At 39.5% G+C, this 18986-nt stretch overlaps 1 protein-coding gene across 3 annotated transcripts in view, besides 2 other annotated features; it reads left to right on the forward strand.

The window, feature by feature from the left end:
- Nucleotides 1-18986, forward strand: part of MTMR3 (myotubularin related protein 3) — a 147695-nt gene that overhangs the window by 52658 nt on the left and 76051 nt on the right. The window lies entirely within an intron of this gene.
- Nucleotides 2677-2726: an enhancer, noted in NCBI's record as "active region_18823". NCBI's record gives its function as "activates an Ori minimal core promoter by ATAC-STARR-seq in GM12878 lymphoblastoid cells {active_cell/tissue: GM12878}" and the evidence as "EXISTENCE:reporter gene assay evidence [ECO:0000049][PMID:35858748]".
- Nucleotides 6317-6818: an enhancer, noted in NCBI's record as "NANOG hESC enhancer chr22:30338137-30338638 (GRCh37/hg19 assembly coordinates)". NCBI's record gives its function as "activates a minimal SCP1, AML or CMV promoter by ChIP-STARR-seq in naive H9 embryonic stem cells {active_cell/tissue: H9 hESC(naive)}" and the evidence as "EXISTENCE:reporter gene assay evidence [ECO:0000049][PMID:30033119]".

Below are 18986 nucleotides of genomic sequence, written 5' to 3' on the forward strand. Positions count from 1 at the left end.
AGGCTCTGCCTCCCAGGTTCACGCCATTCTCCTGCCTCAGCCTCCCGAGTAGCTGGGACTATAGGCGCCCGCCACCACGCCTGGCTAATTTTTAGTATTTTTAGTAGAGACGGGGTTTCACCGTATTAGCCAGGGTGGTCTGGATCTCCTGACCTCATGATCCGCCCTCTTTGGCCTCCCAAAGTGCTGGGTTTACAGGCGTGAGTCACTGTGCCCGGCCTCCATGCCCACTTTTAGGGGAAAAGTTTAGAAGATGGAGACAAAACCAACTATCCTTCTGCTATCTCTTAGATTTTCATCTCTTTCTATTCTGTAGCCTACAATCGTAATGTAGACCAAGATTAGGCTGAAGAATAAAATATTCCTTAATGTATCTAATATTTTTATAGTATTGAACTGTAACCCCATAATGAATTTTTTTGGGGAAAGTCAGATTATTTGGTTATGCTTGGGAACTTTTAGGTAGTTGCAGACTCATTAATAAACTGATCACATGGACCAGATTGTCTTATCCGGTCAGCTTTTTGCTTCCTTGTTCTTATATTTGCTCTATTGTGCTGGTGCCCATAACAACATAAACTTACAGCTCAGTAATGCAGGGCAAGTAGACTTCTTCCTGCCCTGGAGCTTTTTCCTGTACTAGATGCCAGTTCTGAGGATGGTGAGCCTGAGAGTTTAATGGAAAACCTGATTTCTTGATTCTCTGTGGTTAGATTAGATTTGTTTCAATGCTGAAATAAAGAAACTCTAAGAGAGTAGGTAGAAAGCAGTGCTTGGCTGGAGGATATTTAATAAGTGTTCAACTTTAGAATGAATGGGTTTCTTGCTTTGTTAACTTCTTGAAAATGCCAGTGTCTTTAATGATACCATTTAATAGAGGTAATCTGTAGTGGAACATTATTTAGTGACACCACATTTTCAATTCAATAGCCATTTATTTGCTTTTGTAAATTCTCTGTATTTTCTCATATTCCCAAAGACTTTTTTCAGTTTTCTAAGTGAATTAATTTCTTTGAGTAGAATATAAAATAGTAATATTAAAAAATATGGCCCCTCATGCTATCCACTTGAGTTTTAAGATGGTTAGGTTTTTTCGTATTACTGACTGGCTAAAAGGAGAATTTGATCCTGGAGAATTTGATTTGAGTTTTAGATATAAAGGCTTATATTTTACCCCCCTTTTCTTAAATTTTTTGTCAAGCACCCCCCTTCTACAGCTGACAAAACTAAGATACTTCTTAATATTGGATTAAGCTTTTGTTATTATATATTAGTTTTCTGTGTTATCTTTCTAGTCATATCTAGTAATGTTAAGCTTCATTTTGTCTTGTACTTACTTGGATTTGCAGCTTTAAGATGCTTATCATTAGGGCTGAATCTTATTTCTCTGGAGGATACTGACTCTTTAAATGGCTGTAAAAATCATTGAGCGCCTACTCGATACCAAGACATTCTCTTCTAAGAAGAGACTTCTTTCTTTACCATATACTGTCTACCTTTGGTCACAGCAGTTTTGAGGCTTGGGAGCTATTTGTTCTATTCCTTTTTTTGTGCTTGTTCACTTTTTTCTTTCAAAAAACTTTGCAGATTTTTTTTTTTTTTGAGTCAGGGTCTTGCTCTGTTGCCCAGGATGAAGTGCAAGCAGCACAATCATAGCTTACTGCAGGCTTGAGCTCCTGGGGTTAAGTGATCCTCCTGCCTCAGCCTCCCGAGTAGCGGGGACTATAGGCTACAGGTGCCGCCGCACCCAAACTTTATTTGTTTTATAAAACACTAGTTTTTAGAATATAAAACTTGGTGAATAGTATCACTATGTATAATTCTTGAGTCTCAAGTGTAAACACATCAAAATGCGTTTCGTAGGGAGTATATATTCAGGGCAACTTGAATCTATGCTCCTGAGAAAAATAAATTTAGAAAACCGACAAAAACCCAAAATGCATTTCATAAATTGTACAAGAAGATTTGAAGTAATTAAAAAATGATGGAGCAAACTTTCACAAGCCTGTTTTTTTAGTTGTTGGTTCCTAATTTGGCATCAGTCTGTACTGAGTTGATGCTTCAGTAGGTTTGAGACAGGAATAATACAGGGTGGTCACAGGAGAACAGAAAATTCCAGGCAGCAATTTTACATGACTAGCATAAAGGAAACTATTGAAATAGCTGCATAAACTAGGGGCTGACAAGACCTTAAAAAACCAGAGTGTGGGCCAAGCTGGCTAAGACTGACCCAGCATGGCACTGGATTTGACCTAGGTTTCACCTAGGATCTCATTATATGCTCATTAACATACTAAATCACATACCCACCAGCACCATGCAGTTCCAGGAACACCCATATTTGGTGTAGAAATGGGTGGCACTACAGTTCTGAGAAATCGTAACTGTTTTCCTGGAATCTTCCTGAATATTCCATGCTTTGCGTAAAGAAACCCATAAAGATGGAAGTACCAACCCGCTTGGTACAACCTTCTCTTGAGTATACCCACACCCCCCTTTCTTGAGTTTATAATTTTCGCTTTGTCATAAATCTCCGTACTTTCACTGTTTCTGACTCATTCCTGAATTTCTCCTTGTGATAGTGTCAAGAGCCTGGACACCAGCTGAGGGAGAGGTCTCACTGCTCTTTGGGGACTTCCCCCAGCCCGCTGGTATTCAGACCTTTCCAAAATCTGAGTGTCTGTTGTGGAATCATATAGAGAGAAATTTTTCTTGGTCATTAGAGTAAAGTATATGCAAATTCTTTTCTTCTTTTCCATAGCTCACTGCTATTTGGGGACTTCCCTCAGCCCACTGGTATTCAGACCTTTCCGAAATCTGAGTCTCTGATGTGGAACCATATAGAGATAAATTTTTCTTGGTCATTAGAGTAAAGGTATATGCAAATTCTTTTCTTCTTTTCCATAGAATGTTTGCTCAGGACCAGCTGCATAATTTACAGGGCCTCTTCAAGAGGTGATTTAGAAAACTATACATTTTCTTTACTTTTATTTTATTATTTTTTTTTTGAGACAGAGTCTCACTCTGATGCCCAGGCTAGAGTGCAGTGTCGTGATCTCAGCTCACTACAACCTCCACCTCCCGGGTTCAACCGATTCTCCTGCCTCAGCCTCCTGAGTAGCTGGGACTACAGGCACCCGCCACCACGCCCGGCTAATTTTTGTATTTTTAGTAGAGGCGGGGTTTCACCATATTGGCCAGGCTGGTCTCGAACTCCTGACCTCAAATGATATACCCGCCTCGGCCTCCCAAAGTGCTGGGATTACAGAAGTGAGTCACTGTGCCTAACTGAAAACTATACGTTTTCTAATTGTGCTGCATAATTGTATATTTTGTGATTTGTATTTGATGAAAATATGTCCACGCTGGAATTTAAAATAAACTGTTTTACAATGGTATTTTTGTGTCCTAACTTAAGGTCTGGTTAAGGAGTGTCATGGTTCAAACTATTTTTATTATAGGTTTAAATAAAATAAAAACAAAACACCGTGGGGCCAAAAGATGGGAAAGGGACTTTGTTGGAGCTGATAGTTTTATTATTTTCAAACATTGAAATCTTGTAGAGATAGACTTTTCAAATTAATCCTGAGTTGTTAATTTTAAACTTTGTGATTATCTCACTCTTGAGATAATCCTATAAACCTTTTCAGACATAATCATTGAGGTTAGCTAAAACTACTTTTAGCAAAAGCCATATGCTTGTTTTCCCAGTGGGTGAAATTGAGCACTGACTTTTAGAGTCACTAATGTTTTAGTGAAACTGCTTAAATTTCAAGGTAGACCTTAGTGACTTTCTATATGTATGAAGGTATTACTTGACTGTTTTATAAAATAAGAACCGTAATTGGCGTAGACTTTCAGATGAGATTGGGAACATTCAGGGTGGTATGGCCGTAGGCAGTATGGACTTTCAGATAGCAGCTATAACTGTTAGTAATAAGAGTAGGACTGTCAGGCCACTCTGCCCAGGCTAAGCCATCATATCTCCTGTGACCTGCCCGTATACATCCAGATGGCCTGAAGCAACTGAAGAACCATGAAAGATGACATTCAACCATTGTAATCTGTTCCTGCCCCACCCTAACTGATCAATTGACCTTATGACAATACACCCTCCCCGCCCTTGCGATCATGTACTTTGTGATATTTCCCTGCCCTTAAGAAGGTACTTTGCGCCTGTAATCCCAGCACTTCGGGAGGCCGAGGTGGGCAGATCACGAGGTCAGGAGATCGAGACCATCCTGGCTAACACAGTGAAACCCCGTCTCTGCTAAAAATACAAAAAAATTAGCCGGGCGTGGTGGCGGGCGACTGTAGTCCCAGCTACTCCGGAGGCTGAGGAAGGAGAATGGCGTGAACCCGGGAGGCGGAACTTGCAGTGAGCCGAGATTGTGCCACTGCACGCCAGCCTGGGGGACAGAGCGAGACTCCGTTTCAAAAGAAAAAAAAATACTTTGTAATATTCTCCCTGCGCTTGAGAATGTACTTTGTGAGATCCACCCCCTGCCCACAAAAATTTGTTCCTAATTCCACTGCCTATCCCAAACCTGTAAGAACTAATGATAATCCTACCACCCTTTGCTGAATCTTTTCTTGGACTCAGCCCGCCTGCACCCAGGTGAAACAAACAGCCTTGTTGCTCACACAAAGCCTGTTTGGTGGACTCTCTTCACACGGATGCGTGTGACAATGACTGTACTTTTAACAGATGAGAAGTTTGATGGGAGTTGAAACTAGAACTTTTTTTTTTCCTCCTGAATAGGAAAAATCGGAACATTCTTTAAGGTCCAGCTTTTCTCACCCTGCCCCACCTTTTTAAAAAAATTGTTGCTTATTGCCAATAGACTAGCAAGTGGTTGAACAGTTTCCTTGGCAAGAGGTGCCAGGTGACTGACTAATGCCATCGTAAAGCACATGCCCTTGATCACATCATATGGACTTGATCTCCTTGGAGGCTAATTATATTTAGGGACATTTTAGTACTTTCAAGGAACCTCAGACTTTGCTGAGGTTGAAAACACTGGTGACCTCCCTTTGGTTATAAGAGAGACCAGGAGTTCATATGCATTCCTTCAGAAAAATATTTGAAAAATATAACACTGACCTTGGGAGATTAGTGCATATGATCTTGATTTTATGATCTTTTCTAGAGACACTGCACCACTGCAGCCACTGCCTCAATCATGATACAGAACTTTTACATCACATGAGAAAGTTCCTTTATGCACCGCTTCTAGTTAGTCTTTCTCTGCCCTAATCCAAACTACTATTCTCTTTCCTATCACTAAAAATTAGTTTCGTCCTTGAACTTCATGTAAATGGAATCATACAATATTCTTTTCTAACTTGTTGCTTTGAGTCAACATCATGCTTTTGAGACTTATCCAGGTTGTATCAGTAAGTAGTTTGTTCATTTTTATTGCTGAGTATGGCAATCCATTATAGAAATATACCACAATTTGTTTATCTGATCACTTACTGGATATTTGGGGTTGTTTCCAGTTTGGGGCTGTTATGAGTAAGGTTGCTGTGAACATTTGTGTCCAGACCTTTTTGTGATAATGTGCTTTCATTTCTCTTGGGTAATACCCAGGAGTAGAATTGTTGGATCATAGGATAAATGTATGCTTAACCTCATAAGCAGTTGCCAAACTGTCCTCCAAAGTGGTAATGCCATTTTACACTTTACGAGCCGTGTATGAATTCCAGTTACTCGATGTCCTCACCAACATTTGCTCTTGCCAGTTTCTTTAATTTTAGTTAGTTCAGTGGATGTAAAAGGGTATCTCATTGTGGTTTTCATTTTTTGTCTCCCTGATGACTGATTTGAGAATACTTCTCCTACATGACTTTCCTTTTCATTTTCTTAATGGTGTCTTTTGATAAGTAGAGATTTTTAAAATAAAATTTTAATTGTGGGAAAATATGTATGACATTTATTACCATCTTAACCATTTTAAAATGTACAATTCAGTGGCATCTCTACAAAAAAATAAAATAATTAACCAGACATGGTGGTGAGTGCCTGTAATCCTGGCTACTTGGGAGGCCATGGTAGGAAGATCCCTTGAGTCCCAGGAGTCTGAAGTTGCAGTGAGCTACGATTGTGCCACTGCACCCCAGTGTAGGCAACAGAGTGAGATGCCATCTCTTAAAAAGAAAAAACAAAAACAAAAACGGTATTTTCTATCTTGAATGCCTTTAGTTTTTGGATATGTTGACCCTTCTGTGACACCTTGGTCCACATGATGTATCAGGCAAAATTCACCTCCGATATTTCACGTAGGTTCTTTTCTATTTTCCCTAAGTGTCAGCCAGTCTGAGAAATAAAGGGAAAGACTACAAAAGAGAGAAATTTTAAAGCTGAATGTCTAGGGGAGATGTCACATGTCGGCAGCTTCCGTGATGACCCCTAAGCCACAAAACCAGCAAGTTTTTATTAGCGATTTTCAAAAGGAGAGGGAGTGTACGAATAGGGTGTGGGTCACAGAGATCACATGCTTCATTTGCTTCACAAGGTAATAAAATATCACAAGGCAAATGGAGGCAGGGCGAGATCACAGGACCACAGGACCGGGGCAAAATTAAAATTGCTAATGAAGTTTCGGGCACGCATTGTCATTGATAACATCTTATCAGGAGACAGGGTTTGAGAGCAGACAACTGGTCTGACCAAAATTTATTAGGCGGGAATTTCCTCTTCCTAATAAGCCTGGGAGCACTACGGGAGACTAGGGCTTATTTCATCCCTCCGCTACGACCGTAAAAGATAGCCGTCCCCAAAGCGGCCATTTCAGAGGCTTCCCCTCAGGGACGCATTCTCTTTCTCAGGGATGTTCCTTGCTGAGAAAAAGAATTCAGCGATATTTCTCCCATTTGCTTTTGAAAGAAAAATATGGCTCTGTTCCATCCGGCTCACCGGCAGTCAGAGTTTAAGGTTATCTCTCTTGTTCCCTGAACATTGCTGTTATCCTGTTCTTTTTTCAAGGTGCCCAGATTTCATATTGTTCAAACACACATGCTCTACAAACAACTTGTGCAATTAATGCAATCATCACAGGGTCCTGAGGTGACATACATCCTCCTCAGCTTACGAAGATGACAGGATTAAAAGATTAAAGTAAAGACAGGCATAGGAAATCACAAGGGTATTGGTTGGGGAAGTAATAAGTGTCTGTGAAATCTTCATAATTTATGTTCAGAGATTGCAGTAAAGACAGGTGTAAGAAATTATAAAAGTATTAATTTGGGGAACTAATAAATGTCCATGAAATCTTCACAATTTATGTTCTGTCATGGCTTCAGCTGGTCCCTCCGTTCGGGGTCCCTGACTTTCCGCAACAATGATGTGTGTATTTTTCTTTTTTTCTTTTTTTTTTGAGACAGAGTCTCACTCTGTCACCCAGGCTGGAGTGCAGTGGCGCCATCTCGGCTCACTGCAAGCTCTGCCTCCCAGGTTCATGCCATTCTCCTGCCTCAGCCTCCTGAGTAGCTGGGACTACAGGCACCTGCCACCACGCCCGGCTAATTTTTTTGTATTTTTAGTAGAGATAGGGTTTCACCATGTTAGCCAGGATGGTCTCGATCTGACCTCGTGATCCGCCCGTCTCGGCCTCCCAAAGTGCTGGGATTACAGGCGTGAGCCACCGCGCCTGGCCTTGATGTGTGTATTTTTCTTGTCTACGTTTGCCACTCTTTTAGTATATAAGTTTATAAGTTCATAGAAATTTTAGCTGAAGTTTTTGGAGAAGGTGTGTTGGGTAAGGTGAGCTTGTCAGGGAAGGAAGGAATTGGTATGTTATGACTATTCCAGATCTACTTTGAATCTGTATCCTATGACTTAAAGGATTATTTTGCTATGTCTCATATAGCAAAATGAGGCTCTTATAGTCTTAGAACATGATAGACTTTTAGTTTAGGCATTTTGCTTCCCCTTCCCCACCCCCAAACCCCACCCCCAATGCCAGCTCCTTCATGTGGACAACTTTTTTTTTTCTTTCTTTCTTTCTTGAGACAAGGTCTGGCTCGATTGCCCAGGCTGGAGTGTAGTAGCACGATCTTGGCTCATTGCAAACTCTGCCTCCTGGGCTTACGCCATTCTCCCACCTCAGCTGCCCGAGTAGCTGGGACTACAGGTATGCACCACCATGACTGGCTAATTTTTTTTTGTAGAGATGGGATTTTGCCATGTTGCCTAGGCTGTTCTCGAACTTGTGAGCTCAGGTGATCCTCCCGCCTTGGCATCCCAAAGTGGTGGGATTACAGGTGTGAGCCACTGCATCCGGCCTCCGTGTGGACAACTTAAGGCAAGAGCTAGCGGGGTCTTAAAGCCCAGAAGAGTGAGAACAGTGTTTCGTGGTTCCTTTTGAGACATTAATATCTTTTAGATTGGTGCAAAAGTAATTGTGGTTTTTGCCATTAAAAATGATGGCAAAAACTGTAATTACTTTTGCACCAATCTAATACTTATCTCCACTGCTTTTATCTACCCCAAGAACTTGTCATTGTCCTAGGGGAGAATTAACTTTTACTTCTATCTGACTTACGTGTTAGTTTTGTGATGTTTTATTCTAGATTAAGTATCCTCACATAAAGTCATGTTTTTGATAATAGGGGAAAAAGTCAGACTTTTACTTTTGTCTTTTCTTCCTACCCCCACAAGAAGACAGGAAGTAGATAGAGATCAAATTGAGTTGGAGGAGGATAGTATTTGTGGACTTCCAAACAAATTCTTTTATCCTCAGGACATATGTAGCTTGGTATGCAGAGGCAGCATGACTTTTGGAAATTAGGTGCTGTTCTTTTTCTTATTTCTGTTACATTTTAAAGTTTTGCAAGCTACTTTGCTCGGTTATCTTTAATGTTGTATGTTAGCCAGTTGATTAGTGACTTTTTATTGTGATAAAACTTTATTTGCAGTAGATCTTTACAAACTGAGATCACAGAACATGTAAACTCATTAGAACTGTTATTTTCAATTGGTGTATTTCTGATTTAAGCTTTTCTTTTAGAAATGTTTACTTTTATATTTGCTAAATAGATATTTCAGTCATTGATTCAATGAATAAACTGTATAAATAGGTTCATTGCTGAAATTGCTGCTGTGTGTGATTTATAATAATAGCAGATTTCTCCATAATCAAAGTAAATACAATATCCACATTTTATTTCTGGAAATGAATTGTTTAAATATTATTTTTTAGACAGGGTCTCCTCTGTCACCCAGGCTGGAGTGCAGAGGGATGATCACCACTCACTGCATCCTCAGCCTCCTGGACTCGAGTGATTCTCTAGCCTCAGCCTTCTAAGTAGCTGGGGCCACAGGCACGTGCCATGAGGCCTGGCGAATTTTTCATAGAGGTGGGATTTTGCCGTGTTGCCCAGGCTGGTCTCGAACTCCTAGGCTCCAGCAGTTCTCCTGCCTCGCCCTCTTAAAGTGGTGGAATTACAGTTGTGAGCCACTGCACCCAGCCTGGAAATGTAAATAATTATAATGACATGTAGTAAGCATTATAAATAAGAATAACTATATTGAAATGGCACAGTGAACTCTGCAGGGAAGCTTTTGCAGTAAAAATGTTTTCAAGCTGGCCAGGTGCGGTGGCTTACATCTGTAATCTCAACACTTTGAGAGGCCAAGGTGGGAGGATAGCTTGAAGCTAGTTTGACACCAGCCTGGGTAAAGCGAGATCCCTGTCTCTATAAAAAATTAAAAAAAAAAAATGTAGCCAGGCATGGTGGTATATGTCTGTGGTCCCAGCTACTTGGGAGGCTGAGACAGTAGGATTGCTTGAGTCTGGGATCCTGAGGCTGCAGTAAGCTGTGATCGTGCCACTGCATTCCAGCCTGGGCAACAGAGTGAGACTCCAGTCTTTAAAATGAAAAAGAAAAAAAAAAAAAAAATTTCGAGCCAAGAATTGAAGGACACATGGGCCTTGTCCAGATGGATAAAGTGGGATGAGGGAATCAGGCAAAGATAATAGCAGTTAAAAAAAATTTATGGATGAAAAAATTTTAAAAGCAGTCCCAACTTGTTTAATTTGGAAATGTAATGTCAGAGGGTTTATTTTTTGGAGAGAAATTTTAGGAAAACTTCTATTGAAGGACTACGACAGGGAGTGTTAAAAGATTTGACCAGAGTAGTTATGTTATAAATTCAATTGTAAAACTTGTGTGTGTGTGTATATATTTGTGTGTGTGTGTGTGTAAGGTAATCAAGGTATAATTAAATATAAGCAAATGTTTGAGAGTCAATTTGATGGAAAAAGTGGCAGTGATACTGATAACATGCAATGGAAAGATGAGAATTAGGCATTTCAAAGAAAGCAGTGAAAATTGGTGTCAGATTTTGTCATTGGAAATAGAGTCAAATGGTTTCTAGACTGGAATACCTAGAACAACTGTGATTCCCAAAGGAGTATTAAGGAGCTGTGGTGGGGAGAAGAGAGAGGAGAGGGAGGCAGATGATGGATTCTGTTTAGGATAGAGGTAAAGGTGCTAGATTGACAACCTAGAGGAGATCTGGTAATCTGTGGTCATGTGCTAGCAATAGCAGTCAGGGTTGAGGGTTATTTGGGGAGCTCTCTGCTAGTAGCTGAGGGCTCGAGAGAAAGGCTTATCATTTCTGTGGGAAGGACTGATCCTGTTGCATGTGCACCAGGTCAGGCCTGTTCATGAATGGTTTCAGACTGTTAATGGATTAGAAAAATGTCTTATGAAGAAAAATGAGGGAACAAGGAATCCGGAGGAAATGATTTTTGTAGCAGTTTCTCTATATGAAGAATTTGTATTAGTATTAGGGCAATATCATTCAAACCTCTCATTAATGTACTACCTGCATATTTTTTTTGCAGTATCTGTATACCAAATGGGAGTGCATCTTAAAGACAATGGCATGTTATGGTTGAATTGGAAAAGTTTTTTTTTTTTCTAGTGGTATGTAAATTAATAGTGTGTCTTGAATTTGATGGCATCTCAGACTGAATAAAAGGTAAAATTTTAAAAATGCTCAGTAGCGCAAATATAGTTCTTAAAAAGATACTTGTTTATGTTCTGTTTAATCTCAGATATCACCAATGATAATATATACCACGGCATGGAAATACTGGTAATAGAGTACTCCCATTGAAAAAATAACTATATGCTTTAGAATATAGGGTTTAGGTTAGATTGTAAGGAAACTGTTGAAGATGTAAATCATTAGAAAAGAAAAAGTGTAAGTTCTTTCCAAGGTTCTTATGTTTCCAGCATTTTAACATATATACATGTTCTGACTGAACAGTAGTAGTGCAGAATCTGTTATCCAATCACAGGTTTGATTTTACCAGAGAGCTTGGATAAACATATTATTTCTTTCTCCTCTTTCCGACATAGCTCCTTTGACAAATGATTTTTATGTTGGAAAATGCAAGAAAAATAAGTAGCTCAGATTGACTTTGGAAATGTAATATTATTCTTAATTCACAGGCTTGTTGGCAACTTGAGAATTCCAATTATTTGTCTGTGTGGATTGTTTTTTTTAAATGCTGAATTGTATAGTACTTAAGTTTTTGATGTATAAACAATATACTTAATATACTCCATAATGTATGAGGATAGGTTTCTATTAGGCTGTATGTTTGAGAAAGTTTTCCTCTTATGACAAAAGTTAATTTAGCCAGTATGCTAAATTAAAAAAAAAAAACAAAAAACCCTGCCTCCCAGTTTTCTGAGTTAAGTAAAATGATGGTGTAAGAATTTTTTAAATTCAAGGTTTGGTCTGTCTGAATTTTTCTGAGTCATTGATTTAAATGCAGTTACTTAAAAGCATACGGGGAGAAATTCCTTTTACTACTTGTTAGCTCTGATTTAACTTGGTACTTTTGCCTTCCTTAAGTAAAGCATGTTGATGAATTCTACTTTTTGGCTTTAGCTGAAAAAGTTCATTTTCTTCCTGTATGTATTTGGATGGCAGTCACATGTATTCCTCTAGTTTACATGAGATAAATATTACTAATTTTAAAAAGGTGGGTCTTTTCTGGGGGTATGTTGAATTGAAGATGGTGTTCAGGTCAAGACAGTTTCTGGTCTTTTGGCCATTTAATAATCTGAGAATTGCTTTGAAAGGGTAGGTATTTGAGCTCATCATTTAAACAGAGCCTGCATTGTGGTGTGTGGTTATTGGAGGTTGTTGGTGTTTTCATTGGCGTGTTTTCAAAAATATGAGTAGCCCCCTACCTAAATGCCAGAATACAAATTTTAACTAGGCCAGTAGAAGAGGGGATTATTTTCATTTCACATAGCCTCTAGTATTTGAATTTTGTCTGTCTTTGAATGTACCTCTTGGCTAGCTAGAGTTGGACAGTTTTCAATTGTGATGACAGCAGTTAAAAATTCAAATCTGTTCCTTTTCATTGTTGAGTTGTATGCTTAAAGAATGCATCTGCATTTTCATTCAGCTTTCTGGTCCTTGTCGATTTTTGATGTCTGTTATTCTGCATAAAACTGTGTGGCAGGCGCCAGAACTTTTAAGAATCTTTTTGTTTACAGATGGGGAGACAATAACATTAACATTCATTAACATTCAAAATAAAACATTCTTATACTGATAAGCAGTATGCAGGTTAGCTAGGTTTGGGATACTGATAGATATTTTTTTAGTGTAGTTTACTTCCAAATGTCTTCTAGAATTTATGTTTAATATCTCAAATACCTACACAGAATAGGAATGGCATGCTTATTTATACATGGGCGTACTCTTGAGTTCTAATGGCAAGCCAGCCTTCAAATTAAGTTGTCTTCCTGGAAAAGAAACCTCTTAGGCAACTGTGAAGGGAGAGGGATAATATAAAAAGGATGGAGTTTAGAAATTTGTCTTTTTGTGGTAAGATCTAGAAACAAAGCATATTAGAATAAGCAGTGTAAATTTTGCACCTTTCAAAAAGATACTGATGTTTTTATCATGAAATAATAAAAACATATTATTGTCTAAAAAAAAAAAGCCAAAAAACCCAGCCAGGTGCTATGACTCATGCCTGTAATTCCAACACTTTGGGAGGCTGAGGCAGGAGGATTGCTTGAGCCTAGGAGTTCAAGACCAATGAGACCACATCTCTACAAAAAACCACAACAGTAAAAATGAGCCGGGCATGGTGGCATGTGTCTGTAGTCCCAACTACTCAGGAGGCTGGAGTGAGAGGATCGCTTGAGCCTGAAAGGTTGATGCTGCAGTGAGCCACAATCATGCCACTGCACTCTAGCCTGGGCGACAGCGAGGCCCTGTCTTAAAACACACACACACACACACACACACACACACACACACACACACACACCCCCCCCCCCCCCCCCGAGGCCCTGTCTTAAAACACACACACATGCGTGCGCGTGCACGCGCGCCAGGCGTGGTGGCTCATGCCTGTAATCCCAGCACTTTGGGAGGCCAAGGCGGGCAGATCACCTGAGGTCAGGAGTTCGAGACCAGCCTGGCCAACATGGTGAAACACCCCATCTGTACTAAAAGTACAAAAATTAGCCTGGTGTGGTGGCGGTGGCAGGCACATGTAGTCCCAGCTATTCAGGAGGCTGAAGCAGGAGAATCGCTGGAACCCAGGAGGCAGAGGTTGCAGTGAGCCGAGATCATGCCACTGCACTCAAGCCTGGGTGATAAAGTAAGACTCTGTCCCCCGCGCCCCCCCCCAAAAAAAAAAAACAACACACGTACACATAAACCCACAAAAAACACACACATTCCACATTTCTGGCCTTTGCTGCCTGTCTCATTGATTAGTTTTCTGTTGAGTACGTGAGAATAGGAGCTCTTAATTTAAGCCTTATTAAAAAAAAACTTTTTGAGAACCTGTTTTTAAAACTACTCCTCTTCGTGGAGATTGATTATTTTGGGTCTTTTTGTCCAAGAAAATGAAATTAAGATTTTATTCTTTGATTGGTATGAGGGAGGAAGGAGAGTCGTCAGTCTAGTGTTAAAGATAAAATTATGTATGTTTAAGAGGGGCAGAAGTCATCACAAGATTATAATTAGGAAAATTTAAGTTTCCATACTTCCAAGGAAGTATGAATTTCTAGAATATCTTTTATTTCCATTTGATTTAGGCATTGCTATTGAAGACACTGATTTGGGGCAAGGTGTCGGGGAGAACAGGAGGAATTGTAGTTAACTTCTTTCCTCTTCACCAGAGGTTAACTGAGAGCAAGAAGCAGGACATGAATGAGTGTGCAAGAATTTGCCTTCTGTTAATTTCCCAAAGGTAGACCTTGGAAATAGTCAAAAGAACAAAAGTCAGGAAACCTTTTTCCGAGGCTGGAGCTAGTCTTTCTGATCTTTCCAAAGCAGTTATAAATATTGAAGTACCTCTGGCACTTAGATAAAATGATTCTGCGTGGCTTTAAACTCAGTTAATTTCTAATGCTTGAATGTCTGGATTTTCTATGATTTCTGAACAACTCAGATTTAAGTATGTCTTTTGTTTTCTGTGAAATTATAAGGGTTTTTTCCTTAGGAGATAGGGAACATTTCTGTTTTTTATTTTTTTATTTATTTTTTTATTTTTTGAGATGGAATTTCACTCTGTCGCCCAGGCTGGAGTGCAGTGGCGTGATCTCAGCTCACTGCAACCTCCGCCTCCTGGGTTCAAGCAATTCTGCTGCCTCAGCCTCCTGAGTAGCTGGGATTACAGATGCACACCACCATGCCCAGATAATTTTTGTATTTTTAGTAGAGACGGGGTTTCACCATGTTAGTCAGGCCGGTCTCAAACTCCTCACCGCGTGATCTGCCCATCTCAGCCTCCCAGAGTACTGGGATTATAGGCATGGGCCACCACCACGACTGGCTGGGAACATTTCTTTCAGATGGTAAACCTAAATGCTGCCTTATAAAATTAGATTTTAAACTCTTAATTTCTATAGTAAAATAATGCCTACCTTGTGATATTTCATAGAGGACATAGATTCAGAAAATAACTTTACAGATTACTTACAGAACTTCCTTACCATCTTGTTAATGATATATCAGTATATCTGAGTTAAAAGTATAAAGTGGGCCGGGCGCAGTGGCTTACGCCTGTAATCCTAGCACGTTGGGAGGCCGAGGCAGGTGGATCACGAGGTCAAGAGATGGAGACCATCCTGGCCCACGTGGTGAAACCCCGTCTCTACTGAAAATACAAAAATTAGCTGGGCGTGGTGGCATGAGCTTGTAATCTCAGCTACTTGGGAGGCTGAGGCAGGAGAATTGCTTGAACCCAGGAGGCAGAGGTTGCAGTGAGCCAAGATCGCGCCATTGCACTCCAGCCTGGCCATAGAGTGAGACTCAGTCTCAAAAAAAAAGTATAAAGTGAATGTGTTCTGCATGTAGAAGGGAATATAAGGAGCAAATCAGAACATATACTTTTATATTCATTCTTAAAAATTTAATTTTTACCGTTTTTAGCAGATTGTATGTGATCTTTGGTTTTAATCTCTTCTGCTGCTAAAGATATTATATATGGCTGATATTCCCCTACCCCCTATCTCTTGTATAAGGGTTGAGTTTAAAAGGAAAATGCTTGTAAAATAAGTTATTTAGAAGGGTAACAATGAAATTTGTTAAGGTTGGTTTACTTACAGTTAATCTTTTCTGAGAACATGGTCAGGGCTGCCTCCTCTTCCCTGTTGAGATGTATAAAGCAATAAGGTGCATGTGAAATGCAACCAGCCTGTTGTCTAAAAATGTTAGTGTGTAATTACTTTGCTTTTCATTTCTCACATTTTTGGGTTTACATCTGGAAACGCCACTAAATGAAGACGAGTGATTTTTAAGCATTAATCACTAATCTACTGTTTCAGATTCTGTCTATTGCAGAACTTCTTTTGAAGAATGTATTTAGAACCTTTCCCACATTAAAAAGGTCAATTTATGTAAATGAAGAATAAACAACATACTCTGTACCTCGTATGTAGTTACATACTTACACATGATTGATCTTTTGGTCATTATCTATTGAAACAGAGTTTTCACTTGTTAATAGTGGAAATTATCTTAAGTGTTGCTGGTTCAAGTGATTTATTACAAGTAAAGGTTTTTTTTTTTTTTTTTTGAGACAGTCTCTCACTCTATCAAGTGGAGTGTCGTGTAGTGGCTCGATCATGGCTCACTGCAACCTCTGCCTCCTGGGCTGAAGTAATCCGCCCACCTCAGCCTCCTAGTAGCTGGGACTACAAGCATGTGCCACCACGCCCAGCTAATTTTTGTGGGTTTTTTTGTAGATGATGGTTTCATCATGTTGCCGAGGCTGGTCTCGAACTCCTAGGCTGAAGCCATCTACCCGCCTTGAGTAAAGGTTTTTTGATACAAGAAATGATTATAACTTGGAGTTCAGCTTGGATTCTGACAACTTACTAGATTTTTTTCCCCCTCGGGAGAGGATGGTTGTTTCTTGCTTAGGAAATGATAATATTTTAGCAGCTTATCTGTGCCCCACAGCTGGCAGAGTAATGCAGTATGCTGATCATGAAGTTGCATCTGGAACCCTGAAAACTTCCAGACCTTAATGTTTCCAAAGAGATAGAAAAGACACATAGCTTCTGGTGTGTGTGTGTGTTTTTTTTTTTAAAATCATGTTAGTTGGAGGTCTCATTGAACCAGGACAATGACAGAATTTTATATTTATATTTGTTTTATCTTTTTCAATGCATGGTCATCAATAGGGAAAAAGTCACACTAGGAGCGTTGAGCCCTGTGAGGATATCACACCTGACCCTGGAATGGCAGTTGTGTAAGGGTAGGAACTTTGTTTTGTTCATTGCTGTATTTCTAGTTCCTAGAATAGTGCCCATCACTCAGAAAAACACGATGAATGAACATCCACCACTTACCACAGTAGCTGAATGTAGCCATGCTTTTAACTCTCTGCTCGTCTGTTTTCATTTATAGTTGACTTCAACAACAGAGGTTTTAGAAAATTTGAGCAGGGAGTAAGACTAACCTATAGTAGTTTTACACAGTGGGTTTTGGTTAATGCTCATGATTAATTTCTCTTCCCACCATAGAATGGTCTTACCCAACATGCTACAGAATTCTAGTTTCTGATATGTGAAAAGTTAATAGACATAAGAAAGGAAACACTAACAAGCTGAAAAAAATCACCTAAAATTGTGGCGGTTGTAAATCTACTTCTTAAAATTTTGCACCTCTTGAATTTTTAAAATACTGCCTCTACACTCAAATTTTTCTCTGGATCTGTTTCTTAATATTAAATGCATGTGTAAAAAAATCTATTTTAACAGCGAAAGTGAAAAGATTGTTTTAAAATTATTCAGTGTTGCCTTCTTAAGGTTTTGACTCTTAATTATCGTTCATTTGAAAGACAAGACTATGTAGAAAGTATTCTGTTGTTCTTTTGAAGTTAAAGTGTATCTCAGCCAAAAAAGTGCTGCTTTAGTCCCCAGTACCCCTCAACATTTTAGGAGGCCTGGCCAGAGCCTCTTAGTTTTCCCTCATGAATTTGGTTCAGACTTACTAGTTTTTGTAGCTGGGGTTCTTTTATTATATAAACGGTACAAATTGGTGTGCCTCTTTGCCCTTGTTGAAGCTGATGTGCTAGGTGGCACATCGATGATCACATAAACAGTTCTGTGTAGGTGCTAAATATGTCCATTCCTTTTTGGCCTTCTTAGGGCCTCTGTGCCCTTCGTTTTAGTCATTACCTCATTATTTTACAGAAAGGGACTTAGAGTATATTGTGTTAGGTCCCCCTCTCCAGTGAAAGCTGCATGATGATATCCAATACTGTAGTATTTAATAATTTAGTATATTTTTACTCCTTCAGGGTTATCTTTTACAATGGACAAAATCCTGTCCATATGGGACAATATGTGTACCAATATGTGATGGTGAAAGTTTTACCCTCTTATTTCAGATAACTTCCAGAAAGGTGTATTTATTTATACCCCTCTTGGAGATGGAACCTAACAACCCTGCCCACCCCTCTTCCCTGTTTGTCTGTTCGTTAGTGCTTAATGTGTTTAAGCATCCCTTGTTATTTTTAGGTAATTGCTTAGATTTAATGCAACCACATTACATTCTGCTACCTCTACTAATACGTGAATGTTCAAGGTTACCCAAACATAACTACTCTTATTCCTTAAGGTATATACATGACTGGTATCATGGGAAGGTACCTTATGGTACCAGAGAGCTTCTTTCAGACTCACCTCTACTTGGCCCTTTTTTTTTCTTTCAAATGAGTCTTTTTTTTTTTTTTTTTTTTTTTTGTCTCTTAAATTTAAAAGAGACGAGGTCTCACTGTCATCCAGGCTGAGAGTACAGCATTGTAATCATAGCTCGCTGCAACCTCGGACTCCTGGGCTCAAGCAACCCTCCTGCCTCAGCCTCCCGAGTACCTGGGACTACAAATGTGTGCCACCATGGCTGGCTAATTAAAAAATTTTATTTTATTTTATTTTTATTTTTTGTAGAGATGGGGGTATTTCTTTGTTGTATAGGCTGGTCTCAAGCAGTCCTCCCACTTCGGCCTCCCAGAGTGCTAAGATTATAGGCATGAGCCACCACGCCCTGTCTACATGGCCCTTATCTGACAAATAGTCCTAAGAGGCATGAGCAGTTTTTAATTTGCTCGCAATGTTTCACAATGACACACTGTTTCTAACCAAGCAGATGTTTGACTGTGGTTACTGGGAAGAATAGTCTTTGCCAGCATTAAGCCCACCTACTCGAACCTTTTCTGTTGAATCTCTCGTTTGGTCCATCTCTTGGAAGTTAATCAGCACCTGTGGAAACTTTACACAAACACTTCTGTATTACTGAAGATACCTCATCTTTTTGACAGAATAAATTATCACGTGATTTTTAGAACATGTCAGATAGCTTTTACAGCAGATATAGTGATTTTCCTGAATTAAATCTAGCACCATCAATTCATTCTTGCCCTTCGACTTGACCTGTCTCTTGAACCATTTCTCCCCCAATTTACCTGTTGGACGTACAT

Source organism: Homo sapiens, chromosome 22 (genome assembly GCF_000001405.40).
Source record: "Homo sapiens chromosome 22, GRCh38.p14 Primary Assembly".
In the NCBI taxonomy this organism is placed as follows: Eukaryota; Metazoa; Chordata; class Mammalia; order Primates; family Hominidae; genus Homo; species Homo sapiens.